Here is a 27,549-nt window from a genome sequence, read left to right on the forward strand (position 1 = left end):
TCTCTCTGAAACACTGTGGTAATCATCCATTCCTTCCTTTCATCTAGCTAGACTGGCCAGGTCTGGCTACACATCCTCCGTTAGGAGTGTGCCTCTTGGGTCAAGGGTATGGAATAAATCTCATGGTCCAGCATTCTTGCTCTTTGCGTTTTTCCCATGCATGGATCAAGCCCCCTTCTTGTCTTGGTGTTAGCGTTCCCTGCCAGGGACTGTCACTAAGTTCTCTCCCAAGCAGACCAGCTCCTACTCTCAAAGGATTAATGACATCTGCCCACAGTGCTTTGGTTTTCCTTCTTTAGTAAATGTCCATCCTTATGGTTTAAGTAGACTTCAAAGTACAGATTAAATGTCTCTTGAGGTAAAGATCTCACGCTAATATCTCAAGCTAAAGAAAAAATGAGATCCACAATTTAGCTTGAAACTAACCCAAGAGAAGTGGGAAACAACTGAAATAGGAACTTTCTTCCCTTTACCCTTCCCTGTGGAGGCTACTGGTTATACATGTTTGGACTAAGGAGGCTGGTTTGGTTTCTACATCCAGTTGTGTTTGTTCATTTCAAAAACTTCACTGTGACTTATCTCAGAGGAAAGATTCTCAATTGTGAGTTGGTACTCAACAGTAATACCATTCTTTCCCTGGGCAACTCATGAGTGGAATGTGCTCTGTTGCCTCTTGTCTCATACAAGACTTTCAGGTGGCCAAGAAAAAGAGAGAGAGAAAAGACGTTCTCTTAATTTCCTGGAGAGAAAGTATAGAAGTCATTTGGCAGAAGATGCACATTTCCCACTTACATTAGCACCATGTTCTCAAAGATGGTACATAAACCCAACACGCTAAGACTTAACAAAATGCCACAGCTATGATGAATGATGTGGCTGCATTATATGGGAGGAAAGAGCAGGGGAAAAGACTCATTCACAGGTTACTTTTGTCCTCATTCAAGTCAGTTGACTTTTTTGAGCACCTGCTGAGAGAAACTTTGGACTAACTAGTTTCTGGGCAGACAGGGCTGAGAGCTACTGTTCCTGCCTGAAGCGAATCACTATCAGATGAGCAAAAAACAGGCACTTAATGCAAGTGCCCTGCTATGAAAATATGCTGTCTTAAAGACTTGCCCTGGGTCAGGGCAGGCACCATGAATGACCCTCATTCAAAGTGGAGATAAGTCAAGGAAAGTTCCTAGAGGAGGAGAGGCCTAGAGCTGAGTCTCAGAGCATGACTACAGGTCAGCCAAATAGTAAGTGAAGGAAGGGCATTCTATGTAGAGGGAACAGCATTCACGAAATCACAATGACAAGGGTGCTTGACCAAGTGGATCCCATGGCTTGAGTGTTAAGGGCACATGGGAAAAAGAGGTCTGGAGAGGGAGAAACCAGACCCTGGGCCTTGCAAAGGACATTCTCTTTTATCCCAAAGCTATTGAAGGAACTTCTGCAGCAGAATGACCTGCTTAGGTCTACATATTAGAAATATGACCTTCAAAGCAGAGTGGAATATACATCAAAGTGCGGAAGGGACAGAGGATTCCAGATTTGAAGGCCAGCAGAGAGGTGGAGGACGTTTCAGTAATTGAGGGGGAAAAGGAAGTGGGACCGATGCAAGCAGCAGTGAGAATAGAGACAAAGGAGTATTCGGGGTTCTTCATGAGATAGAGCTGAGAGGGCTTGGTAACCAATTGAATAGACAGTGATGGAGCAGGAGAAATTTAGGATGATGCCCAGGTGTCTGCCTGGGACATATGGATAAGCCATGGTGTCATCTAAGGCAAAGGACATAGAGGAGGAGAAATAGAATGGGGGGGGCAGCATGGGGCCTGGTGAGTGTGGGAACTGTAGAACATCCCAGTGGAGGTGTGCAACCCCCTCAGTGGGCCCCACAGTGCACCATGCTCTTGGCTGACCCAGCCTCACTAACAGCCCCGACTTCCTCTCCTCGCCTGCAGTTTCAGCATAATATTACACTTACCTGAAGCCAAGTTCATCTGAGGGACTTCATTCCAGATAGCTGGGTAGAAAAAGCCATAGATTTGGGCTCCTAGGAAGCAAGGAGCTCTATGACTTTCTTGTTGTACTTGCCTGTGTGAAGAGGGGTAGAGATTGGCACTCTGTTTCTCTTGCTGCGAGCTTCAGCCTCACTGTTACGAATCAACACCAACTGAGTATGCTTATGATGTTTGGCATTATGTTAGCACACAAATGTAGAAGTCATTGAAACTGATGTATTATTTGTGTATAGACATGATAAAAGTAGAAAAAGAAACAACTGGCCCCAGGAACCTTGATGGAAATATAGCAATTAAGAGTGGAGGGGCCATTGACTGTGAAAATATGTTGTTTGCCTTTTCTAAGGAGACTTTCGTTAGATGAAACTTAGAAAAACTTTTTCTCTCTGTAGTAAAGGAAATATGTGGTCTACTCTGAAATAGCGGGTTTGGGGTTTTCAGTTCTTTTTGAAATGTAGACCTTTGAACCTCTGCTTCTCCAGAATGAGAATGGAAAAATTATGGAGAGGTGAGATCCTCTTTAAGAAAAAGGAACCTGTCAGAAACCTTTGTAAGAAAGGTTGCAGATACAGCAGTTCTGAGGGTCACAGAGGTCTGAGTGATGGAGTGGGAGTGGCAAAGCTCCATGAGTGGCTGGGACATGTTTCAGCATGGCTGTCATTGAAACTGGTCATTATTTTCTTGATGCTGACTTTCTAGCTGCCTGCTCGAATTCACTTAAAGGAAGGCCAGTATTGAATAAATGTGCTTTATTTTTGTTTTTAATTTCCAAATGCCAAGATATGACCCACAGGGATGAGTGCCCCTGGGCCAGGAGTTGTGCTAACTCTTCTCTGATAGGCTGAGAGCCCTGAGGTCTTTGAAAAGCAAGTCCTCAGGATTCCCCCAAATTCGAAAAGTCCTGAGACTTTTAACCTCCACTCTTTACCAAGCATGTATTTTCCTCTGAAGCTTTAAGGACTGTGCAGGCACACAAGGCGCAGCCTTTGATGTGGACACAGCCACTGTTTAATGACACAAAGCAGGCTGCTTTAAAACAGCACTTTCGCCTGTCATCTCTAACGGAAACTGCGGGGAGAAGGTTAGGCCCTCTTTGTGTCTAACATGTCAAAGTGGGTATTTTACTCCAAAATAGGCCACCTCTCACCTTCCAGGACCCATATATGCTTCCTACAAGCCTGGAGCCTCCCCAGAGGCCTCCATGGACACTTCCCAGTATCAAGGAGCACACTGAGGAGGATCCAGCTCCAACGAGGCCCAAGACCAATCCTGCTCTCTTTTGCACAAAGGCTGGAACAGAGTTGGGCTGCTTGTTCTGCTCTGGCCAGAAATAAAGACAAGCTTCTGTAACCTTGACAGTGCTGCTAAACTTCTCTTCATTTTTGAAAGGAACATCTTCCATCCCACTTCAGTAGTGAAGAGTGGGTACCTTCTTACCCCTCAGTTGGCTTTCCTCTTCTCCCCCTCAGAGATCAAGGGTGCAGTCATATCTTGGAGGGAGAGAGCTTTTGAGAGCAGTCTGGCTTGCTGTGGTGAATGGGAGTTGATCTTCCATCTGCAGTTACCAGGACCACCCCTACGTGAGCCCTTGTGTGGGAACAAGGCTGTTCATGTTTCTGTCTGCCAGAGATGCCTTTCTCCCTGCCCTTCATGCTGCATTCGATATTGGGCTCTTCAGCAATATCGATCCCATCTTTCTGTCTTCTGGGGTTTCCTTGTTTGTGGGTCGGGTGCTGCATGGTCTGTTGATCTGACTCAAATTTGCAGCCATTTCTGCAGCATGCATTAGAGACAAGCACTCCCAGTTCTAACTGGAGCCCTGCTTCTGTGTGAACTGTTGTACACACCGCACAGCCTCCCTGTGGCTGGTTTATCTAAATTCTAAAAAGGAAATAGAAATCAGCATGATTTAAAACTGAATCCCACTGGTAAAGACCAGCAGGCAAATATAGAACATATACAAGATGAGTGTAGCACTATTATCAAGAATGACCATGAGAAGATAAATCAGTGTGGACTTGCAGCAAGGTCTAGGAGCTTTCTGAAGGATGAAGACTGTGGGATGAGACCCACTGATGTGCACATGCATGGTGGTGCTTTGTCCCAGAAACCTCCTACCTGTTGGCATTCTCTCCTTGCACTTCCCCCTGAAAGTCTGCTACTCCCAGAGCTCTAGCATGGCTCTCACCCCATGCTCTTTGCCAGAGAGATTCACCCACTTCTGTGGCTAAAACAACCACCATGAACTACTGACAAGGAACCTCGTTCTCCAGCTCAGACTTTTCTTCCAAGACCTTGACTGGTTGACTTCTCCCCTTGTATGACCCAAAGGCATTGACAGCCAGCTGATCTCAAATGGAGTTTACCCTCTCTCTCTTCTCACCCCAAACCTGCTGCTCCCCTGTTTTCTCTGTCTCACCAAACCTGAATCAAAGGAGTCATCTCCAGCTACTTTGTCTCTGTCACTCCCTGCTCTTCCCTGATCTTCAAGTACTGTCAATTTCCATCCTTTCTTTCTCCCCTGCCACGCATCCCAAGCCATCATCAGGATCTTCCTTAAGTTCAGGTCCTGGCCTTCACTGTCACCATCCGCCAGGCCAGCCTTTACATTGATAGCCATTGCCTTTCTAGCACACTCATCTGATTGTGTTCTGCTACTCAGGTTTCAGCAGTTTCTCACCACCCACAAGATGAAGTCGACTCTCTTTGTTCAGCATTGCATATCTCAGCCATTTGACCCCCTGCCTATTTGACCCACCTTGTCTCTAGCCATTCCCCCATCCACCCATGTGTCTGCTCTACCCTGAATGCCCTCTTGACTCTGTGTTTCCTTCCTGCTTCCTGAAATGGCTTCCTCACTGTGGCCATCCTAGTGGAGACACCAAGTTATTGTACTTTGAAGCTGCCCCTCGCTCCCCATGGCAAACCAAAAGGCTCATCGTTCTGTGCTCCCCTAGAACCCTATGTATACTCAGCGCTTGTCCTATTGCTGTTATAATTTTTGTATAAGTCAGCCATTCTCTCTAGATTAAAAGTTCCTTAATGGAAGGGTCATGTCTTCACAGAGCTTGGCCCCCATAATAGGCATGCAATAAATGTTGAATGAGCAAATATCAGGATTCCCACACTTGGCAAAGAAGTCAGCCCAGCATATAGCAAAAGCATCTTTATCTTTCTCACACTGCATAAGAGAGTGACTTTCTAGTTTGAGACCCCCAGTCTCAAACTGACCCCAAGGAAGCCAAACAGGTGTGTGCCAACCAGAGGCATGCATGCCTTCAATCACATATCAGCTTCTGCAGGAAACAGTTCTGCTTCTCCCTGTTTGCCTGCATTTTCCAACCATAGCCACAGCCCACAGCTTCACAGAATGTAAAAGGTAGATGGGAAGTTACAGTAGGTGGTTCTTAGCATTGCATCCAACAATGTGGCATTTGGACCATGGGAAAGGACCTGAGCTTTTAGTTTGAGTCTATCCCTGGCCAACAGCTTACAGAATCCAGCATCCAAGTCATTAGAATTCCTGACTTTGGGGGAATGAAATGGTCAAGGCTCTTGCTTCTCTGGTTTGTTTCTCTTTTAACAGTTTTGTTCTAATCCTTGGCAAGGGAAGGTACCTCACCACAATCCAGAGGGTGAAAGGTTAGTAGGCTATGTTCTTAAGAACTGGGATTTCCTCTTCTTTGTTTTTCCGTTCTCCTTACAGGAGGGAGTGCTCTTTGAGCACATGGCACTGAGATAGGACAATGCTTGCTCTAAAAACAGTGTCCGTGCGTACCTGCCTCAAGAAACACAGGGCCAAAAGGAGCTTACATTGCCCAGGAATGCATCTAGAAGTAACTCTTCAGGAAGGCCTAACTCATCATGTTTTGAAGTTGGATAGGAGCCTTTTTTAGGAAAACTACTCCCAGTGTTTTGACTAAATGAATGAGGCCAGCTCTTCCACTCCTCTAACCAGGGCAATTCTAACTTGTCAAAATAGTTTTATAGAAAAGGATCTAGCACTGATTGAGCTGGGATTTGCACTCCAACCCACACTTTCTGACTCTTAAAACACCACGTTATCACCTTGGTTTATAAAGCACCATGTTTATAACACGATTCAATAGCTCAGGATTCTGTTCATCATCAATGGATTTTGCATGGTTCAGCTGTAGGGCACCCAGTGAAAATTTGGTCCAAGAGCCTGCTACCTTCTCTTTTGTGATGAATTGTGCCCAAGAGCAGCACTGGGTTACCCAGGCTTCTCTGAATCATGATCATTGAGTTTTCTGAGCAGTGACTTGGGACTTTCAAGATGTAAATAGCAAACGTGAAACCTGGTGACAGAGTGGTAACATGCCGTTGGCCTGAAAGCCAAAGCTGTAGTTAAAATCAGTGCCGCTCACTCTGCAGAAGCATTAGCATTATTTCAGCAGAAATAAAAGCATGGTGGAAAATGAAGCCTGGTGAAATAGCTCCAGGATGTTGCAGGATAGAAGGTTCCAGACTCCTGAGCTGCCATGTCCTGGACTCTTGATCCAACTGCAATTTGAGTGAGGATGATGTAAGGGGTTAGTATGATGTGTTGGGGAAGCCTTGTCTGTTTGTGGTTAATAATGGTCACAGAGGGACTCTTGCTTGTCATAGTAGAGTGAAGGGCTTTCAAGCACAGAATGGAGTGATTTCTAGCCTGAGATAACTGAGTCTGTTCTTAAGATGCCATTGACTGTCCAATTTCAATTCTCCAGAAATTCCCCTTCATTGGCCTTTGCATTACTGCAAATCAACAAGTAATCTCACCAGGCCCATCATCCCCACCTAAGTCTTTTGAGTTCAGGAGATTATCCCATACCCGCATTCCCTAAACCTAGAGTTGGTTCACTCAGGAAGCAGGGCCTGATTTCAGAATAGTCCAGGCCTCTTTCATCAATCTCAACATTTATCTACTCTAAACATTGAAAAATTGGAAGGTGCTCGCTTGTTTTGGAATGTGTGTGGTCAGTGCCTCAGAATAAAGCATTTAGCAATTGATAGAATCCTGTAATCGACATGATTGGTAATAGATAATACTTCATAAAAAACAGGAATAACATTTACCCAATGCTTTAGCATTTCAAAGTAGTTTACAGCCACTGTTTTTCAGCCACTGATAGGCTGTTTGGTCCTCATTTTATAAGAATTGGTACATTGTAGGAATGAGCTAGGAATCAGGAGATCTGGGTTCTGGTTGCCATTTCACCACACACTTGCTCTGTGATCTAGGATTAATGACTTCATTTCGCCATCTTTAGAATGATCTAGGGATGAGGGAAGATGATTCTGGAAACTTTCCAAAGATCCTATCAGCTCACAAACTCTGACTGAAAGAATATGGGCAAATACTTTGTTTTGGTTTTATTTAACAAGGTAATAGTTCTCCTGTGGATTTTCAATGCAGTTACCCTTTACTTTTCTTAACTTTAGAATCTCAGACTTGGGGGTTATTTCAGATGCACTTTAGAACTTCCATTATCCTATGGCCTAGCCAATCTTTGGGCCTTTCAAGTCCTGATATATTTTTGGTTGACAATCAAGTAAAAAGTCAAAGATGCATCCGGATACATTCCATAGCTTGGAGAAATGGTCAGCGGACACACCCCCACGACAGAAAGAGTTTTGGGGATCAGGATGCCCTTTTTCCCATTCAGGTATATATAGGGAGGCATTTTTCATGGGGAAAGATCAGGCTAGGAATGAGTGACTCCACCATTTTCCTATCACTGTAGGAGTGGCTGAAACAGTGTGTGAAAATCTGCATTGAATGTACAAAAATTATCTTGAGGTCATAGTCTGCTCATGTAGCTCTAACATTCGAAGCCAGCTCTTTCCAACTCGATGAAGCGGTCCAGCTAATGCAGTTGTTCCCTGCCATCTTTTTGGTCATGAACCCCTTTGGGAATCTTATAGAAGCTATGGATGGCCCTCTGCCCAGAAAACTCCCCATCTACTCACAAATTGGGATATAATTTTAGGGGATTTCTGAATGCCCTGAAGCTCATGGACCCCAACTTAGTACTCCTGGTCTAAGTAGAATAAAGGAGCCCACCAGTAGGAATGTCAGGGCTAGCCTGAGACTTCTGCATCTCAGCTAAAATTAAATACATAGTAACATAAAGGTGTTACTTTTTCTTTTTTTTTCCTTTGACCATCACCCTCTTTTCCTTTCTCTGTTCCTACATCTCTCGTCATCTCTTCTCATTCCCTCTCATTTCTCTCCCCATCTCTTGCACATCTTGCACCACAGATGTTCCAGCCTGGCTGAAAAGCCTCCGCCTGCACAAATATGCCGCGCTTTTCTCCCAGATGACCTATGAGGAGATGATGGCCCTCACCGAGTGCCAGCTGGAGGCGCAGGTATGTGCTTGAGGTGACTGTTCCCTGAGAGGGTGCCCCAGGCAGGACCTGAAGTTCAAGGCCTGGACAACCTTGTTTGGACCCATACCTATGCCCACACAGTAGCTTGCCCTGTGCTGGAAACTGTGGGGTGCTGGCCAGCATTCCATGGTGAGCAAAACTGGGTGGATTCTTGCCTTCAGGGTCCAATAGGAGATGGAAGACAAGCAGATAACTGCAGGGTCGTGAGGGTGAGATCAAGTGGTGTGAAAAGGCATAATCTCGGCACACTTGAAAGTTCCAGGTGCCAGGGAGGAATCGGTGGATTTTCCTAGGAGAAGTAACATTTGACCATGCCACAAAGAATCTACATCCCTGCCTTTGCTTTTCTTGCTCTCTCCCTCCCTCTGCTCGAGCAGGGCTTGGCTTGTTTGGGAAGTGACAGATCCATTGTCTGTTGTCTAGTCCAGTTACAAATCAGCCTGCTTCTAACTGGACTGCTGAGTAGATGCACCAGGTCATGCCTCAGACCCGCCCCAACATTTTTAAAAAGTCATGTTCAGGCCAGTCTTTGTTGAGATTGGAGTAAATTATACAAAATATTTTTTTCTTCTAACATGAGACAATCATTGAGAATGAGATTTCCATAGGTCTCAGATTTCATTTCCCTTCTGCATGCCATAAAAATACAAAGGTTCCCCTTCCTTCTAAGGCATCTTTCCCCGATGTGGATGCCAAAGGCCAGTCAACAGAACCCCTGAAACTAAGCATGTTTCCTACCACGCTGTGCTCGGGTAAATGGATCTGACCAATGTCTTTGTTTCCCTTGTTTAAAATGCTATTTGCATGTTTCACATTGGCCTCAGTTTCCTTTCAGCAATGATTTAAAAGAATCGATGGTCTGAATAGGCTAAGAATATTTCCTTTGCAGGAAAAGGAGATTGTACCATTTGGGCATGGCTGGTCTGGACGCATACCTCCCCGCAGATCACCAGTTCCCCAGTACTTATTCGGTACCCTCATTTAACCCTGCAGGCCTGGCGGACTCCCAATATGGAGACACAACACAAAGCCCAAAGTCACTGCACATTCTCAGAGAATGAAAGGCACTCATTTCAACTTCCTAACATTTCTCCCACCTCTTTTTGGATCTTGATTGCTCCTTGAAATCCCAGGGGTTGATGAGAGCTTTTCTAAGAGCATTTTTGTGTTTGGGTCAGAGTTGAGGAAAAAAATCTAAGTCATCAGTTGTTCGACTTGAGGAAAAAAAACAAGAAATAATTGAGGGCAAAGCCAGAGGCCAGCACAACCTTTTCAGAGTAATTTAATTCACTAGAACCCAAAGTTAAGGGTAAACAGAAATATACCCCCAGTGTTTCATCTTAGAGACTGGGTTCACGTGTCATTTGAGTCTTAATTTTTCTAGTAAAGATGTTGTTGATATTCCTATCTTTTCCTTCTTTAAGAAGAATTCTATGGAATAGTTGCAAGATGTTTGAGTTAGAGACCTTATTTGAGAGACGGCTGTCTATCAGGAAATTTGCAGTATCTATTATCAACAACTATTTAAGTAAATCCTTAGGCTCACCATTGCTACCCAGTTAAGAAGATAAAATCCACAACTCTTACTGTGAATCCTAATCATTTACCTGAAGAGATGACTGAATTATGAATTTAAGTAATTTTCTATTCTAGTTTTCCTTAGAGAAACAAAAGACAAGCTGCAAACTAACAAATTCCCCATGTTTTATGACACTCCATGTGGACTCTACTGGGCTGCTCATCTTTTCAAGATGGGTAAAAACACAGGGAGGGTTTGAGAAAGCCATGAATATCTATATGGGGTTGGGACCTTTAGGGAAACTGAGAGGGGCTGAAATTATAAAGCCTGGAGAAAAGGAAGAGTGCATGACTTAAAAATTATCTTCTAAGGCTGTGAAGAAATTTCATGCTGGGTATAATAATTGGCTGTTCCACATCTCTCTCTAAGATACAGGAAGATACGAATACAGATAAAAAGCACAGTCAAAAGACACGGGCAAATATGTAGCCAGACGGAGTTAGAATTAAGAAGATGGCTGGGTGCGGTGGCTCACGCCTAGAATTCCAGCACTTTGGGAGGCTGAGGTGGGAAGATTGCTTGAGCCCAGGAGTTTGAGACCAGCCTGGGCAACATGGCAAAACCCCATCTCTACTAAAAATACAAAAATTAGCCAGGTTTGGTGGCCTGTAGTCCCAGCTACTTGGGAGACTGAGGTGAGAGAATCACGTGAGCCCAGGAGGTCAAGGCTGCAGTGAGCTAAGATGGCGCCACTGTACTCTAGCCTGAGCAACTACAGTGAGACCCTGTCTCAAAAAATAATAATAATATTTAGTAAGAAGAGGTTTATGATGATGGGTACTAATGCAAGAGATAAGTGGATATTGATCAGCCCGTGAACATATAGGAGCAAAGAAGACAGTAAAAGCCTCCAAGAATCTGTAAGCTGATTCTTAAAAATATGTTTTTAAATATACATTTAAATGTAACTTGTTATTTAATTACAGAATGTTACCAAAGGTGCAAGACACAAAATTGTCATCAGTATTCAGAAGCTCAAAGAAAGACAAAATCTCCTGAAGTCTTTGGAAAGGGTAAGTTATCGGATGAGGGAACATTTCCACTTTCATTATGGGAAAATGGACCAAGGAAAATTCTCCACTGGAAGTGTCATCGACAGACCTTCTAGAGCGTACCATGTGGTTTCCTTACCAAAGTCAGAGAAAACGGAATGATTTTGAAGTGAAACTTCCTGGTTGCACGTGCTTCTTTGAAAGCTGATGCCTCAGTGTGCTTATTCCCTGGGCCCAGGCTGCCTTGCCTGGCCGTCCTAGAGCCCTGATGAAGTGCTGTCAAATGCACCCTTTTTGTATACGTTTGTGTCTCTGCCTCGTATACATTTGTAGAGATCAGTGAGGTGTCCAGTTCACAATCAGAGGCTGAAATCTTGGCAAAACAGGGCAGGGAATATGCAGTGTGCTTTGGTCTCACTGTCCTCCCAGGGGAGGGTCTGTTTTGAGAAAAGCTGCCCCCAGAGTGGTAAATACCAACAGGTACACTGCAGATAGTGGGGTTCAAAAGCATTTGGCAGGCAGACATATTTGGCTCTCAAGAGAATAATTCCAGGCTTTAACTTAACAACAGAATGGGTCCCTGTGACTCTGATAGGAACCATCTCAAAAATGCTAAATGCTGAAAAAAGTTTATTCCAACGTTAAAAGCAGTGATCAGCTGCCTACTGTCCCATTTTATTTGCTGCCTAGACAGGTCCTCTTCTTACCTTTGTGTCTGGATGCTGCCCTGGTAACAATGTCATTTTTAGGACTTAATGATGACATGATTTCATCTAAGATCCAAAGGAGGGCAGGCCTCATGCCTCACACAAGTGTGAACCAGCATTGCTTCTGCCTCAGGGTTGGGATTCTTATGCATGGGTACTGGGAGGCAAGAGTGGTGAGTGGGAAGTTCTGTGGGTATTTGCAGCCTGCAGAGCTTTAGAGGTAACCTCTTCTAGTAATCCCAGGGAGCTTTTGGATTTTGGAAGGGAACAGAGTATTGAGGGAGGTAGCGCTAAAGCAAGTTTTGTGAGCACATCAACATTTAATGGAGTGGTAATTTTTCAGCAGGTGCACAAAGATGTGTGTGTGTATAATTTCGTATATGAAGGGGTGGCCTGCCCCTCCACACCTGTGGGTATTTCTAATCGGGCAGGACGAGAGACTGAGAAAAGAAATAAGACACAGAGACAAAGTATAGAGAAACAACAGTGGGCCCAGGGGACCGGCACTCAGCATACGAAGGACCTGCACCGGCACCGGTCTCTGAGTTCCCTGTTTTTATTGGTTACTATCTTCGTTATTTCAGCAAAAAGGAATGTAGTAGGAGGGCAGGGTGATGATAAGGAGAAAAACATGTGAGCAATAGAATCTACATCATAATTAAGTTCAAGGGAAGGTACTATGACTGGACGTACACGTAAGCCAGATTTATGTTTCTCTCCACCCAAACATCTCAGTGGAGTAAAGAATAACAAGGCAGCATTGCTGCAAACCTGTCTTGCCTCCCATCACAGGGCGGTTTTTCTCCTATATCAGAATTGAACAAATGTACAATCGGGTTTTATAACGAGACATTCAGTTCCCAGGGGCAGGCAGGAGACAGTGGCCTTCCTCTATCTCAACTGCAAGAGGCTTTCCTCTTTTACTAATGCACCTCAGCACAGACCCTTTACGGGTGTTGGGCTGGGGGACGGTCAGGTCTTTCTCATCCCATGAGGCCATATTTCAGACTATCACCTGGGAAGAAACCTTGGACAATACCCCGCTTTCAAGGACAGAGGTCCCTGCGGCTTTCCGCAGTGCATTGTGCCCCTGGTTTATTGAGACTAGAGAATGGCGATGACTTTTACCAAGTATACTGCTTGTAAACATTTTGTTAACAAGGCACGTCCTGCACAGCCCTAGATCCCTTAAACCTTGATTTCATACAACACATGTTTTTGTGAGCTCCAGGTTGGGTCAAAGTGGCTGGGGAAAAGTGGCTGCAGCAAAACTACAAATTAACAACATCTCAGCAAAGCAATTGTTTCAAGTACAGGTCTTTTTCAAAATGGAGTCTCTTATGTCTTTCCTTTCTACATAGACACAGTAACAGTCTGATCTCTCTTTCTTTTCCCTACACATATAGACTATATAAAGTTATTTTTAATGCATATATGTTATATATATATTTATAGAATATACATATATAACTTTGTAAGAAACGTTTCTTTTTAAACCTCTGGCCAGATAGACAGAGGCTTCTCACGTGCACATCCGTGATTAAAGACCTCTTCTTACTTAAAGTGAATTACAAATTACAAGTGAGCTATCCAGTTGAACCTGAGGTTTATTTGTTGTTGTTTTTAATTTTATACTACTTTAGAAAGCAGCTTGTCTAAGTGACTATTGCCATTTTTAAATTGAGAAACCATTCTCTTTGGGGGAACATTCAAAAGGCCAATTTACTCTTTCTTTGTTAGAAAGTACGGAAAACATTTTGCATAAGGATTTCATTGCTAAGTGTTATGGTAAAAGAGTGATTTCTTCCCTTCTTTCTGGAGCAGCCTTGAGGATTCATTCATATCCTCCATCACTGAGGAAGCGCACCCACCTGGGAGACAAATTACCGTTAGCTTTATTCCCTGCAGCCTGGCAGAAGTCAGCATGGGGAACACTCTGGCAACCAGGTAGCAAGGGTGACCCTGACATGCCATCGACTTTCCATCTAGCCTTTGATAAGTCAGTGATGTTTTCCGTGTCCCAGATTTTGCACCTAGAATAATAGTGACTCCCCTGTTCACTGGAATGGGAAAGTTAAAAAGATGCCACATGCAGAGCAAAGTGTGATGGCAGCCAGTGGTCAAGTGGAAAGAAATTGTGAGTTTATCGAGTCTGACTTCTTTGAGAGAGAAGAGAGCTTATGTGTGTCAGATGACTGGTTGAGCTTGCATCAGAATACCCCAATGTTTGGACATCCTGTATATTGTCCCTGCGTGAGCTGATGAGATGGGGTGGGAGGCAGTCTCTCTCAGGCATCCACTGAGGACGCATCCCCTGGCCCTCCTCTGTCTTCTCTGGAACCCCTACCTCTCCTGCTTTGCAAGGGAGTGAGTTGTTTGTAACCTGTTACCACTGACGGCACCGGTGGCAGACTCAAATCAGCCATTTCTCAGGCATTCACAGACACCGCTGGGCTGATGATGCTGTTGGAAAAAAAGTCATCTGCCCTTGCCTGCCTCCCATATTCTTACCTCACATAGATTTCTAAGGAGATAGCTGGGGCCCCGCCCATAGTTAGTTCATAATCAGTGGTGGCTGTCTGAGTTCTGTGTGCAGAGCTCTTTTGTTCAGTTACTGAACCCTTATCAAGCAGCTGCCTGGGACTCAATTTGCCCCATCCATTGGAGATTAACCGTGAGTCATACATGGTTCCTGCAATGGGGAGCTGGGGACGTGCATTGGGACAGTTAGATATGGCACCATATGATCTCACAACCCAGTCTGATCGATGTCATCACCATAGCAGGTGGGGGAAGCTTCCTGAGGTGAAATAGACCGCTGTGCAGTGATGAGGTGGGAAGCCTTCAGAAGAGCTGGATGTTGGCCGGGAAACTCATTAGGAAACTATAGCAAGTCTTGATGGGACCTTGAACCAAAATAGAGGCAGTGAGGATGGAGGAGGAGGATAGAGATCATTTAGAGGGAGTCTGGTGATTGTGACGAGGCTTGGGTTTGAGTGTCATAGTATTTGGGGACAGAAAAGATAGGAGAAGTGGGGGCGGGAAATGTAGGTCCATGAGAAGGGTTGAGTCTGAGGTGCCTGTGAGACACCCAAGTGGAAATGGCAAGTCAGTGGCCGGAAGAGCAGGTCTAGAGTCCAGGAGCCCCACAAGGTTTGAAAGGACCAGTTGTGCATCATGTGAGTGTAACTGATAATAGGTACTCCCCAGAAGTGTGTGCCAAGGGTCAAGAGCGTGGACAGGCCCTGAGGAGCACCGTAAGATATGGAGGGGCTGAACAATAACACAGGCTATGCTCGCCCAGAAGGTCGGGAGGGTTTGAAGGAAGGAATCCCACCAGGTGCCATGGAAGTGTCACGTACAATGGAGACGGAACACTGTCCTCTGAAATTGGCCCTCAGCAGGTCACTATGCCATGATGATAGGAGTTTTAGGGGAATGGGAGGAAACAGAAGCAGAAGCCTGTAAACCAGTTGGTGTGAATGGGTGAGGGGCCATGGGGTACAGAATTGAAGACTTCTCAAGATACGTGGTGGAAAAGGAAAATTAGAATGGTCACTGGAGCAGAATTTTCAACATTTATCTTGAGTAATGAAAATGTTTCCATGTGCTTTTATTCACCATCCTGCCTTTTCAGTTCACTCTCAAACTGTGAAACTAAGCCATGTTCTGAGCCTGGGTCCTTGGCATGGAGGAAGGAAATATACACACACACTCATGCATTCACCTCACTTCCATTTATTGCTGCTTACAGAAGGAGAAAATGCTTCTCTGTAAGCCTGCGCCTTTTCTTCAAACACATCCAGATCTTGTCCTCTTGGGTTCAGATCTGAGACCCCCAATTCCATCAAGTGCTGCAGAGAAACCGCAGATAAACTTAATATTAAATGCTAAATATTTCTGGAGTAATAATGCCTTATACCAGTAAGGTGCATTGTATACTTTTTAAAAATGTTTCACCCCTATCGGTGGATTTGGCCCTTACAGCAAACTTCCTAAGGTAATCAGGAGAGCTGCTGGTATCCTGATTTTAAGAAAAAGAAACTCGAGTGAGTCCAAACTCCTTAGAAAGTTGGTTGCTAAGGACTTGGAAAAGCTCTTCAGCTTCATCTCTGGCCACCCTGAGCCCTGCTCGGCCACGTATAGCGTCCTGTCATCCTTTGTTCCTTTCATGCTGTTTATCCTTTCCTGAAACATGCAGTGGTGGTCAGGGATCCCTCTTATATGTTCCCACAGCTCCCTGCCCTGATGCCCATCATACCGTGTGGGTCCCAGAAACTGCAAGCACCTTAGAGCAAAGATTATGACTTAATTTGTTTTCATATCCCCAGTGTGTAACAGTGCCTGGTTGATGACAGGGCTCAGCAGCTGATGGGTGCATGAGAGGAGGAAAGAATGGATGCGCTAGATACAGGAGTCCTGTCTATTATGTGAGAATCCCAATTCTTACACAAAGGGAAGGATGGAGCTAGAGATATCACATGAGTGCTGAGGACACTTCGGCTGCTCAAGACTCTCTTTTCCAGATGGTTTGCAGCTTGTTGTCATATGCCCAGGAAAGGCACTGAACCAGCCTTCCTCCAAGACCCAAGTTAGCCACATCAGGGCTGGTATAAGTCAGGAAGTAATTTCCTTCCTGCTTGTCTCCTGAGTGATGGCTGTGGTCAGTGGTGGACCAGACTTCCCACTGTCTGCTCTCAAAGGAGCTCCTCAGCTTTGTAACAGCACGTTAGTTAATGAACAGCTTCACTGTGCCTCTTTGTGTTTATCATGTGGGATTATATTTTTGGTATGAAGGATCAGTAAAGACTTGGGTGGATTCCCAATTTTTTGTCAACAAGGAGAATTAATTCTTACAGTCAAGGGTGCTAGATTGATTTCCATTCTGGCCATTTCTCCCTGTTTCCTTCTCAATTTGGGCACTCTGTTTTGAGTTCAGGAATTCATTTTTAAGTGTCAGGAACATGACCTGATGATCACAGTGCCATGCTACTGATGCCAGCTTGAGCACAGGATGAGCTAACTGATTGTAAGCCAAGTGTTATCTTTGAGACAATGGCTTGATGTCTATGAGGGGAAAAAAATTCTACATGATTCCTGGGAAGTTATATTTTATAGAAAGTGTCCAACATTATTCGTTATGTATTTGGTTTCTTTATTTGTGTGTGTGTGTGTGTGTGTGTGTGTGTGTGTGTGTGTGTGTGTTTTGTTTTGTTTTGTTTGGTGTGGTTGCCTCCAATAGAAGAATCAGATAAGATTTGAATGGGGCATGCATATGTTTCCTGTTTGAATGCTCTTCACATAACCAAAATCTCCTCTCACCACTAGCTGGAGAAACCTTCTTGCCATGTGACAAGAGCAGGCAGGGGTTTGGTGCAGTTGACAGAGTGTCCCAAGCATGCATTTGCTCATCCCATTGACAGCAGCTGCATGGGATGGCATGGCAGGGATACATGTGATCACCCCAGCGTGGCTTTCCTAGCCCCTCTTCATGGGGAAGCTTCATCCCTCTCTTTTCCCTTCCCCTCCTTAGTCAGGGGCTGGACAAGGAGGTCAGTGTCCCCCACAACCCAGGGGCTGGTTGGGCCGTTGGCAGGACCTCAAGGTAGGATCCAGGGGTCCCCTAGTTAGCACGCAGTCTGATCAGAAAAGGTGGTAGGTGCTCTCCTGGCATGGGTCAGCTAGCTCACCTCCCTGTGCCTGCACTGGTCACATCATCAGGTCAAGTCAAGGAAGCCAATCACATGATGGTGTCTAGATGCTGGGAAAGGGCCGGGTCTACCGTGGGCAGCAGGGAAGGAGTGATCAGGATCACGCCTGACTCCTGCAGAGACATCTGTCATGTGTAGAAGGAAGGTGGCAGACGCGAAACTCTCCTAAGAGAAAAAGGGACTTTCTCCCCTAAAATAGGCTGAACAGTGGCCCTGGCCAGGTTTGAGAGACAATTCTGGTGGCTAATTAAAATTTCACTTCCTTCATAAACCCTTCGTGCCAACTAGGCTAAGGCATAATCCAGGCTCCACTTCCCACCCCTCCCCGCCAAAAAAAAGCAGGTTCCTGCCAATGACAGGGTGTGGCTGTTGGTGTTCTTCGCTGCCCACAGTTGAAACAGGCACGTCCAAGCCTGCCGTCCTCAGCTTTCCTTTTTCTGATCGATTGATTGGAAATGTTTGGGTGCAGAAATGATCACATTTCATATGTTTGCATTCCCTGACGCCATCAAGCAAGTGTAAGAGATGACCCCAGGAATGGATTGGATACTCATGCATCAGGCTTTTTAAAATGTCCTTGCTATTCTGAGCTCTCAGGAAATTAAATACTTTGGGCTGGGTGTGGTGGCTCACGCCTGTAATCCCAGCACTTTGGGAGGCTGAGGCGGACGGACCACCTGGGGTCAGAAGTTCAAGACCGGCCTGGCCAACATGGTGAAACCCCATCTCTGCTAAAAATACAAAAATTAGTTGGGTGTGGTGGCACATGCCCATAATCCCAGCTATTCGGGAGGCTGAGGCAGGAGAATTGCTTGAACCTAGGAGGCGGAGGTTGCAGTGGGCTGAGATCATGCCACTGCACTCTGGCCTGGGCAACAGAGTAAGACTCTGTCTCCAAAAAAAAAAAAATTAAATACTTCATCAGTGATTGGGACCCTGATTATCAATGTCCTTTCCAGGTCCTAGGAAGACCTTGATGTGCAGAAACACAGGGAGAGCAGCTTTGTTGCAGAGGGCCCACCCCAGCCGCCATGCCAGGCAGGGCCCCAGGCTCCCAAGCCCCAGCCACAAGTGTTTGGGCCTCTGTGAGCATCTGGCATAGAGAAAAATATCTATCAGAATCAACTTTTATTTCTTTTTTTAATAAGTAGTGCCCAGTATATCAAACTATATGTGCAGAATGATCCAATTTTATTATACAACACATAAAGACATATATATTATATTACAGTTCTATACATATTCCTCTCCAGAATGATCCTTGTAAAACTTGTCACTCCCTTGCTCAAAACCTTCCCTGGTTTCCCATCTTAGACTAGATTTCAGCATCCCTGCCCTGGCCCAAGGCCTCCAGGCTCAGGCCTAGGTGTCTGACGGGACACCATTGCCCACCTGCTCCATCGCAGGCCTCCTTGCTGTTCCTCAGACTCCCCCCTCAGAGCCTTTGCCCTTGCTGTGCCCTCCACCTGGAGCGTTTCTCCCCAGGATCCTCATGCCCACGCTCATTTGGGTCCCTGCCCCATGTCACCCTCTCCAGGAGCTTCCCCTCATAGCAGCCCCGACCCGTACCACAGCCCCTGGCATGATATAGTTATCTCATGGCTGGATGTCAACTCCTTGGGGAACCCTAAAGGCAATGAGGCAGCCACGATATGCTCATTTTGTACACAGAGAAACTGAGGCACAAATTGGTTAAGCCATTTGCCCAGGTTCACATGGGAGTGCAAGAATCCAAACCCCAGCCTCTGACCCAGAGTCTCTGCTCTTAATCGCTACCCTGTGCTGCGTGTGCCATGGACTGAGTGATGGTGTGAACAAGCTATTTCATCCAGAACATACACAGGACACAAAGCCATCATGTCACCCAACTTTGTTGTACAGCTCCTAAAGCATGTGACTGTAATATGTATAACTGCATTTTACAGAAATGCACAGAGGAAGGCAGAAAAGGAAATATACCAAATTGTTTTCGTGGTCATCTCTAGATAGTGGGATTTTCCGGTGGTGTGTATTTTCCTCGCTATACCTGTCTGTATTTTCCAAGTGTTCTTCCTGGGCCAATATTAGAATGATGAAACGAAAGTGGTCCCTTTTCCCAAAAACGTCCTGATGAGGGTACCAGCAGCCACGAATCCTGTAAGAGCTCAGGGCAGGGGAGGGCAGGTACGGGGGTGGATGACCCTTATTCCTGAGCCTAACAGAGGTCTTCCTGCTCTCACCGTCCAGGACATCATCGAGGGGGGCAGCCTGCGCATCCCGCTCCAGGAACTGCACCAGATGATCCTGACTCCGATCAAGGCCTACAGCTCCCCGAGCACCACCCCCGAGGCTCGCCGCCGGGAGCCCCAGGCCCCGCGTCAGCCCTCACTGATGGGCCCCGAGAGCCAGAGCCCCGACTGCAAAGATGGGGCCGCAGCCACTGGCGCCACGGCCACCCCCTCGGCCGGGGCCAGCGGGGGGCTCCAGCCGCACCAGCTGAGCAGCTGCGATGGGGAGCTGGCCGTCGCCCCCCTGCCAGAGGGGGACCTCCCCGGGCAGTTCACACGCGTCATGGGGAAAGGTAGAGCCTCATTCGCCCATTTCTTTTTTCTTCTGGATACCACTAACCAGAGCGACAGGCTCCTGGGGGCTTCCCCTGGGTGCTGGATAAATTCCCTGTCCAAGTAGACATCATTAGCTTCATCTTACAGATAGGGAAAGTGCAGTTCAGAGAGGTTAAGCCTTTTGGGTTTGAACTGCAATCACTGTGACCCCAGGAGACCTACTCCTTAATCCTGGCTCCTTTCTCTCCCAACTCCCTCAGACTAGGGGATGCCAGCCCTTTTATTACAGTGCTCATTGGGCCAGTGGACCCTTGCAGGAGGAAGGTGGGAAGGACTTCGAAAAAGATGATTTTGGGAACAAACCGTTCACTCAGCATCTCACCCTCTCTCCAAAGCAAAAGCGGCAGAAAATGAGTGACAAACTGAAGGGGCACAGACGCCTTTAGCCAGAGCCCAAAGATCTCCCTGTGCAGAAAAATGCCAGCCTTGGCAGTGGCCTCTCTCCTCACCACTGAAAGTGTTCTCAGATGTGGCCATGGTTTGGAGAATTCCCAGCATGGAACTGTTTTGTTCTCATTCTCCCGTGTCTGCGTTTATATTCTCTCTTCACGGCTGGCCTGCCATGTGAAATGCTCTAGTACGAATAGCTTGTGCTTATTTAGCTTTTCCTCTATAGCAGACACAGTTCTCCGTGCTTTACCTATAGAGCTTACTTAATTCCCAAGTTATCCCATTTTACAGAGGAGGAAACTGAGGCACACAGGCTAATTAGCCCACCTGAGCTTACACAGCTGATGGCAGGGCTGGAATTTGAACCCTGCAGTCTCTCCATCATGCACGTGGTTACCACTGTGCCTTCTTATCAGCTCAAGATAGAACAAGGTTAAGTTTCATGTGATGGTTCTCTCCGCTGTGAGGTGACAAAATCCAAACCTAAAGAGTCACGTGTCATCTGGCGCCTCCTTGTTACCTCTACAGCCCTTACCACCTCCATTCTACACTCCAGACTTTGTATCTTTGAGTTCTCAAAAGTTTGCATATTTTCCTGGCTTCTGAGCCTTTGTGCACACCTCCCCCTCTGCCTAGAACCTAGGCCCCTACTAGTTTATACAAAGCCTTCATGTGAATTACAAGATGGTGCCCTGTCTGGGTGGACACAGCACTGCTAGCACTCACCTTGGCATGCACTTGTGCAGTGCACAGCCTGCACATCCACATGGGACAGCCTTGCCTATAACACTCTTTTCCTCACCCCATTCCCTTCACCTGGGTCATGCCTCCTTCTCCAGGTCTTAGCCAAGTCCTCACATGCTCCAGGAAGCCTGCTGATCCACTGGGCTGGGTGAGGTACCCCCTTTCACCTGCCCCACGTCCCCCTTTACTTTCCTTGTCTTAGCCCAGTTCACACTAGATTGTGATTGCCTGTTTGCTTGACTGTATCTTCATTAGTCTGCAGCACAGACCACTTTTAATAGCTACTCAATACCCTGCTTTTGTAGCACAGTGCTTACAGTAGATGCCTCATAAGTAGGCGGTGCAAAAATTGAGGGATGACACCAGTATCTAAAGTTAGGCCTTCCCACAGACCATCCAAGCATACATGCTGGGTGCACGCCTGTCGGGGAGGGTAGACTCCACAGCGTGGTCCTTTGGGTAAGAGCGCCCCTTTCTACCTGGGCTACCCTCTGCCTTTTCTGGGGCAGACCCTTATTTCCATATCCTTGAAAATGTCCACCAGTAGAATAATTTATGCTTAATTGGGTGTCTTACAAGACATCTTGATTATTTTTTAACATGTGGCAATGCCAGCACTTTTCCTTTGGAAGGGGAAAACAATTTTTTCTCTGTTATTGTCCAATATTTCAGACCATTTTAAAAAACCAAGTTTGCAGTAAGAACAACCCCCACCCTTCCACCACCCACCTTAAGGCATGTCCTAAAAAAAGACTTAAATTCATAGTAATCTGGTGGAGGAGATGACTCACAGCTTCCCTTGGAGCTTGATGGCCAGGGTGGGCCCTCGCTCTCCCCCACCCACCCCTTAGCTGTGTTGGATTAGAACAGATTTCCCCATGGGTGAAGACACAGCTCTGCCAAGCCCAAGTGGAGCAGCTACTGAACACGCGGCACATCGCCCTACTTCCTGAGAGACCCACAGTGCTATGGCCCTGCTTCTTTACATTTTACCTACGTTAAAGGAAGCTGTAACCCCAGTTAACACTCAGCATACACAATTCAAATTAACAACATGGTGGAAAGTGGAAAACCACCCTCCCCCAACCCCAAACCCTGCCATCCTCATTCCCAGGGATAGTCACTATTAAGTTTTGGGATATCCTTTCAGAAACTTCATCATCATACATAAGCACATGAATATTCACTTTTTTTTTTTTTTGAGATGGAGTCTCGCTCTGTCACGCAGGCTGGAGTGCAGTGGCGCGATCTAGGCTTACTGCAAGCTCCACCTCCCAGGTTCATGCCATTCTCCTGCCTCAGCCTCCCGAGTAATTGGGACTACAGGCGCCCGCCACCACGCCTGGCTAATTTTTTGTATTTTTTAGTAGAGACGGGGTTTCACCGTGTTAGCTAGGATGGTCTCGATCTCCTGACCTCGTGATCTGCCCGCCTCAGCCTCCCAAAGTGCTGAGATTACAGGCATGAGCCACCGCGCCCAGCCGAATATTCACTTTTATACACACGCAGGCCTTATTTACATTCTTTTCTACAGGCTGGTGGGTTTAAAAAAAAATACTATAGCCGGACACGGTGGCTCATGCCTGTAATCCCGGCACTTTGGGAGGCCAAAGTGAATCACTTGAGCCCAGGAGTTCAAGACCAGCCTCGGCAACATAGTGAGACCCTGTCTCTCAAAAACAAAATAATAAAATTTAAAAAGTATATATACTTACAATATTTCTATCAGTACAAATAGCGCCATCTCAAAGTTTTTTTTAAAGATGGCATACTATTCCACTGTATGCATAAACCGTAATGTATTTAACAAAGTCCCAATTAATAGGCAGTGAGGTAGTTTACAAGGTTTTGTTATGACAAACAATGTTATACTGAAAGTGTATGTGCAAAGGCAAGAAATAAATGGGATTGTGTGACCAATCAGCCATGCAGGGTTAGGGACAGGGAGGAATCAAGTATGATGCCAGGTTTCAAGCTTGGTCTCCTTGAGTGTCAGACATTTTTACTCTCTGGCTGACTCCTTTTGTCCACCCATCTCCACTGTGGCCCTGTACACATGACTAAGAAAGTCGGGGAATCGTCACCTCTACAATGAGACCAGAATGGGCCACAGTAACATGGCCGTGAGAAACCTAGTGCGTGTGTATACTCTACCCGCAGACTAACTCTGTTCCATCCTATTTAGCACTGACTTGAGTGTGTAGGTGAGCCTGCGCCTGTGTGTGCATAAATGTGCATATCACTCTGAGAAAGCAACCCTCTGAGGAGTGAGTAGCAGGCCTCCTGCACATGTGCACACCCACACACCTCCCCGTCTCCAGGAGGTGCCAGCTCGTTCCTCCAAACACAAACGCCGCTGTCTCTGCACCTGGCGAGGGGTGTGCGCTCATTCATAAAATCACGGAGGCTGCTCTCTGACAGTGTCAGGGTCTTGGATACTTCTGAAGCCCCTCACACAGAGCCACTTTCAAAGACCAAGCTCAGGACGCCACTATTCACTGCTGTGTTCTTCCTCTTATTGCAGTGTCTTATTGCAGAAGGCTTCATATAGAATGGCATGACTGGAATTAACCCAAGGGGCTTCTCGAGACAAGGGCTCCCACGGTGACCCAGCCTTTGACTTCTGTGGAATGAGGAGCCTCTTGGCCTTTTTTGTGAGCCTTACATAAAGCCACAGACACACATACCTCTCAGAGTGTTGGACCTGAAGGGAAATGAGAGTCAGGTCCCAGAGATTAGAAAGGGGTGCATTTTTCTAATTCATCTTTTCTTTTTAATTACAGTGTGCACACAGCTCTTGGTCTCCAGACCTGATGAGGAAAATATAAGTTCCTATTTACAGCTCATAGACAAGTGTCTAATTCATGAGGTGAGTAGTGACAGGTTTTACAAAACCATTTTTTTTTTATTGCTTAGAAATGGTTCTCAGAGTTTCTGTGATGTGATCATTTTAGCCTCCAACAACTTGTTTTTGAGTGGTGGACAGTTATTAATAATAGGTTGGGCAGAACTAGGCTATGACAGCCTCAAACCCAAACACAGCTTGAACATTACTTTGGTGTCCAAAGATTTGCCCAGACTGAGTGTTCTGATGTGCAGTGAACGCCTGCAACGACTTCTGGCTGGGGAAGCAGCCCCGGGTGGCCAAGCCTCAGAGGGTAACACATGAGCCCTGCTGCTTAGCCCTGGGCATTGTCAGGTCTTTTAAAAATCTTGTGTTGAACTCTTGCCTTTTAGCTCAGGGAACTGGAGAGAGGAAGGGAGAAAGAGAGCCCATAAAGAAATAATGAATGTGTATATGTGTGTGTGTGTTTGGGCTTGCGATTGTTGTAGGAATCGTATTTGCCACATATCCTTTTGGAGGAGGCCTGAGGCAGGCTGCAGGTGTGCCTACTGGACCCTCAGGCACAGTCTTCATATACAGAGTGAGATAGACCCTTTGGCATGGCGGGGCTAGGCAGCCGTCAGCACTGGTGGCTGTCCCTAAGGGACATGTAGGGAGAGGGAGTTGCACCTCAGACCTAAAACTCCAGTGGCTCCTTGGGCACCCCTCCCTCCCCACAAAGAGCTACAGCAGCAAGGCCTAGACTAGAGAAAACTTGGGACCAGATAAACCTAGGATGGTGAAGTCTTTTTGTAGGATTTCGATGTGAGAATAAGATAGTAAGGGGGCCGGGGTGGTGGGTCACACCTGTAATCCCCACACTTTGGGAGGCCGAGGTGGGAGGATCACTCGAGGCCAGGAGCTTGAGACCTGCCTGGGAAACATATCAAGACCCTGTCACTACGAAAAAAAAAAAAAAAAGCCAGGTGTGGTGGCGCACACCTGTAATCCCAGCTACTCGGGAGGCCAAGGTGGGAGGATGGATGGCTTGAGCCCAGGTGGCCAAGGCTACAGTGAGCTATGATCCTATCACTGCACTCCAGCAAGAGCAACACAGTGAGACTTGTCTCGGGGAAAAAAAAAAATAGTAAAGGCCCCAGGCCTCCTCACCTTTGCTGCATGGGCAGCCAGTACTCCAGGAGTCCAGTAGGGTCCGGTGAAGGGAGACGCCCAGCACAGCGGCCAGGCCCCTTCTCCACTTCCCTCTCATGTTCTCACCCTTCCAGCTGTCACATGGGCCCTGTGCTATCGAAGTTCTCACGGCCCTCACCCACTACCCACACTTCACATACAAGGGTACAGTCCCCCTCTGGGATTCCATCCCAGCTCCCCCTTCCCCACTTCCCCAAACCCTCATTTTTGCAGTTTCTCCTCTTGGCCGTATGGATTCTTATGTGCCCAAGCGGCTCTGGCCAAAGTTGTCAGTGTGACTACAGTGACCAGCCGCCTAGGTTGGGGGCTCAGACACGCCATCCTCTGAAATGTTTAACTATACCAAAGTACTAGACTTTTCACTGAAAAAAAAATGGTTTTTTCCCTCTTTAATGGCTTCCCTAGAGCACCCAGGCATTGTCAAAAGCCCGTACTGAAGGCTTATTTGTGACTTTGTTTCAGGGACAAGGCCTTCTCCCCACAAGCCTTGACTAATCCTTTTCTATTTCGAATCCTGACACTGGACTCGTTTTGGCCAGGAAAAAGCGACAAAGGAAGAGAAAGCAAGAACACAGTGAAGAATGTTACAACTCGTCCATTCCCTAGATACTTACTGAGCACCTAGGCAGGTTACAGTAGTGAGAGAATTAGGCAGGTTACAGTAGTGAGAGAAGGGGTGAGACAGAAAGAAACAGGCCATCACAGCCATGATGAGAAAGCCTCTGATAAGGTCATCCCTGAGTGCCCTGGAGCACAGAGGAGCAGCAGCAGCGGGCACCAAACCTGGAGCCAGAACAGGGCATTTCCGTGGAGGAACCCTCTCCACCCTGAGACCTGAAAGGCAAGCGAGAGTCCTGGTGGTACAGACTCGGTTCGTAAGGAGGCAGAAGAGAGTGATGTCTGCAGGGCTCCGTGTTTTGTTGAGAAGTAGGACATTTGTGGGTGGCTTGGGGCAGACGGAATGGGGAGGATTTCAGCCTCTGATAAAAGCACACCGGAACTCTGCTTCCTCTCCCACGCCTGCTCTCAGCATTGATATTGGAGGACAAGGTACTGTCCACCTTGCCTCAAGACAGCTGAGCCCATGAGACAGAAATCGTGAGTCCTCCAGCTACCTGTGCCAAACAATCCACAGGCTTCCTAATTGTCCCTCGGCAGCCCCGAAACTCTGGCCTGACGCTTCCTGCTTGCCTGCCATCCTGCATGTCCTCCCTTGGTACCCTGGCTCTGGTTTTGTTTTTTCCCCTTGACCTCCGTGCAGCCCCAGGTGATCTCCTCTGGTTGCCCAGAGGGGCCTCTCGTGGCTGGGGGCCCCGGTCAGGAAGGAGCTGGTGAGGTGTCTGCTTGCTAAGTTCATGTCAGGATGGAGGGGCCTGCGTGCTGCTTTGGAAGGGAAAATGTTGTTCAGGGCTTTTTATGATTTTACTTTGAGAGAGAGGAAAAGCTGTCTGAATAATTTTCCACAGCCTCCGGTTATTCTGTGTGGGTAGAACACGCCCTGCCTGTGAGGCCCCGTGAAGGCGCACAGCCTCCATCCTGGAAGAAGTTTCACCCGGGCACAGAGAGACAGGACGCCCCTTCATAGCCCGGACACGCTGTTCCTTAGCTGGCTGGGAGCAGGGAAGGTATTGAGTGGGCCAGGACACCTCCCTTCCTTCCCGGGATGGAGGGACCGAGTCCCCAGAGTCATGAATGGAAGGAGAGGAAAGTTCTGAATTTTACTTCTGAGACCAGTCACTTTGACTCCTGAATTATAATCCCAGGCCTCTGGGCACTTCCCTGTGTCTTGAGGTGGCTCTGAGAAGATGAGCTCTTGCCGCTTTATGAACCTTTTCATCCAGCCACATATGCTGGGACACCATAGCCATCTTCCTCCAGACAGATGCATTGGTCTAGGCCTGAGAGGGCCAGAACTCTGGAGTGGTGACTAGGGGTGCCTGGGCAGTTGCTGGGCATGAAGCCTTCCCTTCCCCTCCAGGCCCCTTGGGAAGCTGCTCCCCAGCCCAACCTGGGGCTGCCAGCGGAGGGGGCTGCAGTGAGATTTTGGGCATCATAGCCAATGCAGATCCCCCATAACTGAGCACTCCCCTGTAGGCCAGGAACCAGTGTTCAGAAACTCCTGAAGCCAGCCACAACCGAGCACCACATCCCCAGCTGAGAACCGGCCCCCACTCTCACTCAGCACTGCTAATGGGCTGGCTCCCATCTGCAGCCCTGAAGGAAAGGAGCCCGCTGCCCATTGAGGTGCTCAGGGAATGCGCCGACCTCCCCAGGAAGGCGCCAACATTCCCACCTTCTTGGATGCTGTTTGCCACCAGGGAAGATGTCATGTCTGTAATGATGTCTTAGGAAGCACATCCATGAAATGAGCCCTTTACTCCGTTGTCA

The 27,549-nt window shown here is 47.0% G+C and overlaps 1 protein-coding gene across 17 annotated transcripts in view; it reads left to right on the forward strand.

The window, feature by feature from the left end:
• Positions 1 to 27,549, forward strand: part of SAMD4A (sterile alpha motif domain containing 4A) — a 228,000-nt gene that overhangs the window by 175,231 nt on the left and 25,220 nt on the right. For 16 of the 17 annotated variants that reach the window (XM_047431137.1, XM_047431136.1, XM_024449516.2 and 13 more), the window contains 4 exons: positions 8,269 to 8,378; positions 10,905 to 10,991; positions 19,615 to 19,948; positions 23,909 to 23,994. In XM_047431137.1, coding sequence (XP_047287093.1) covers positions 8,269 to 8,378; positions 10,905 to 10,991; positions 19,615 to 19,948; positions 23,909 to 23,994 — 617 coding nt within the window. Of the gene's footprint in view, positions 1 to 8,268; positions 8,379 to 10,904; positions 10,992 to 14,286; positions 14,352 to 19,614; positions 19,949 to 23,908; positions 23,995 to 27,549 lie in introns of those variants that run through there. The other variant, NM_001161577.2, reaches the window with a different exon arrangement.

This window comes from Homo sapiens, chromosome 14, assembly GCF_000001405.40.
Source record: "Homo sapiens chromosome 14, GRCh38.p14 Primary Assembly".
NCBI lineage: Eukaryota > Metazoa > Chordata > Mammalia > Primates > Hominidae > Homo > Homo sapiens.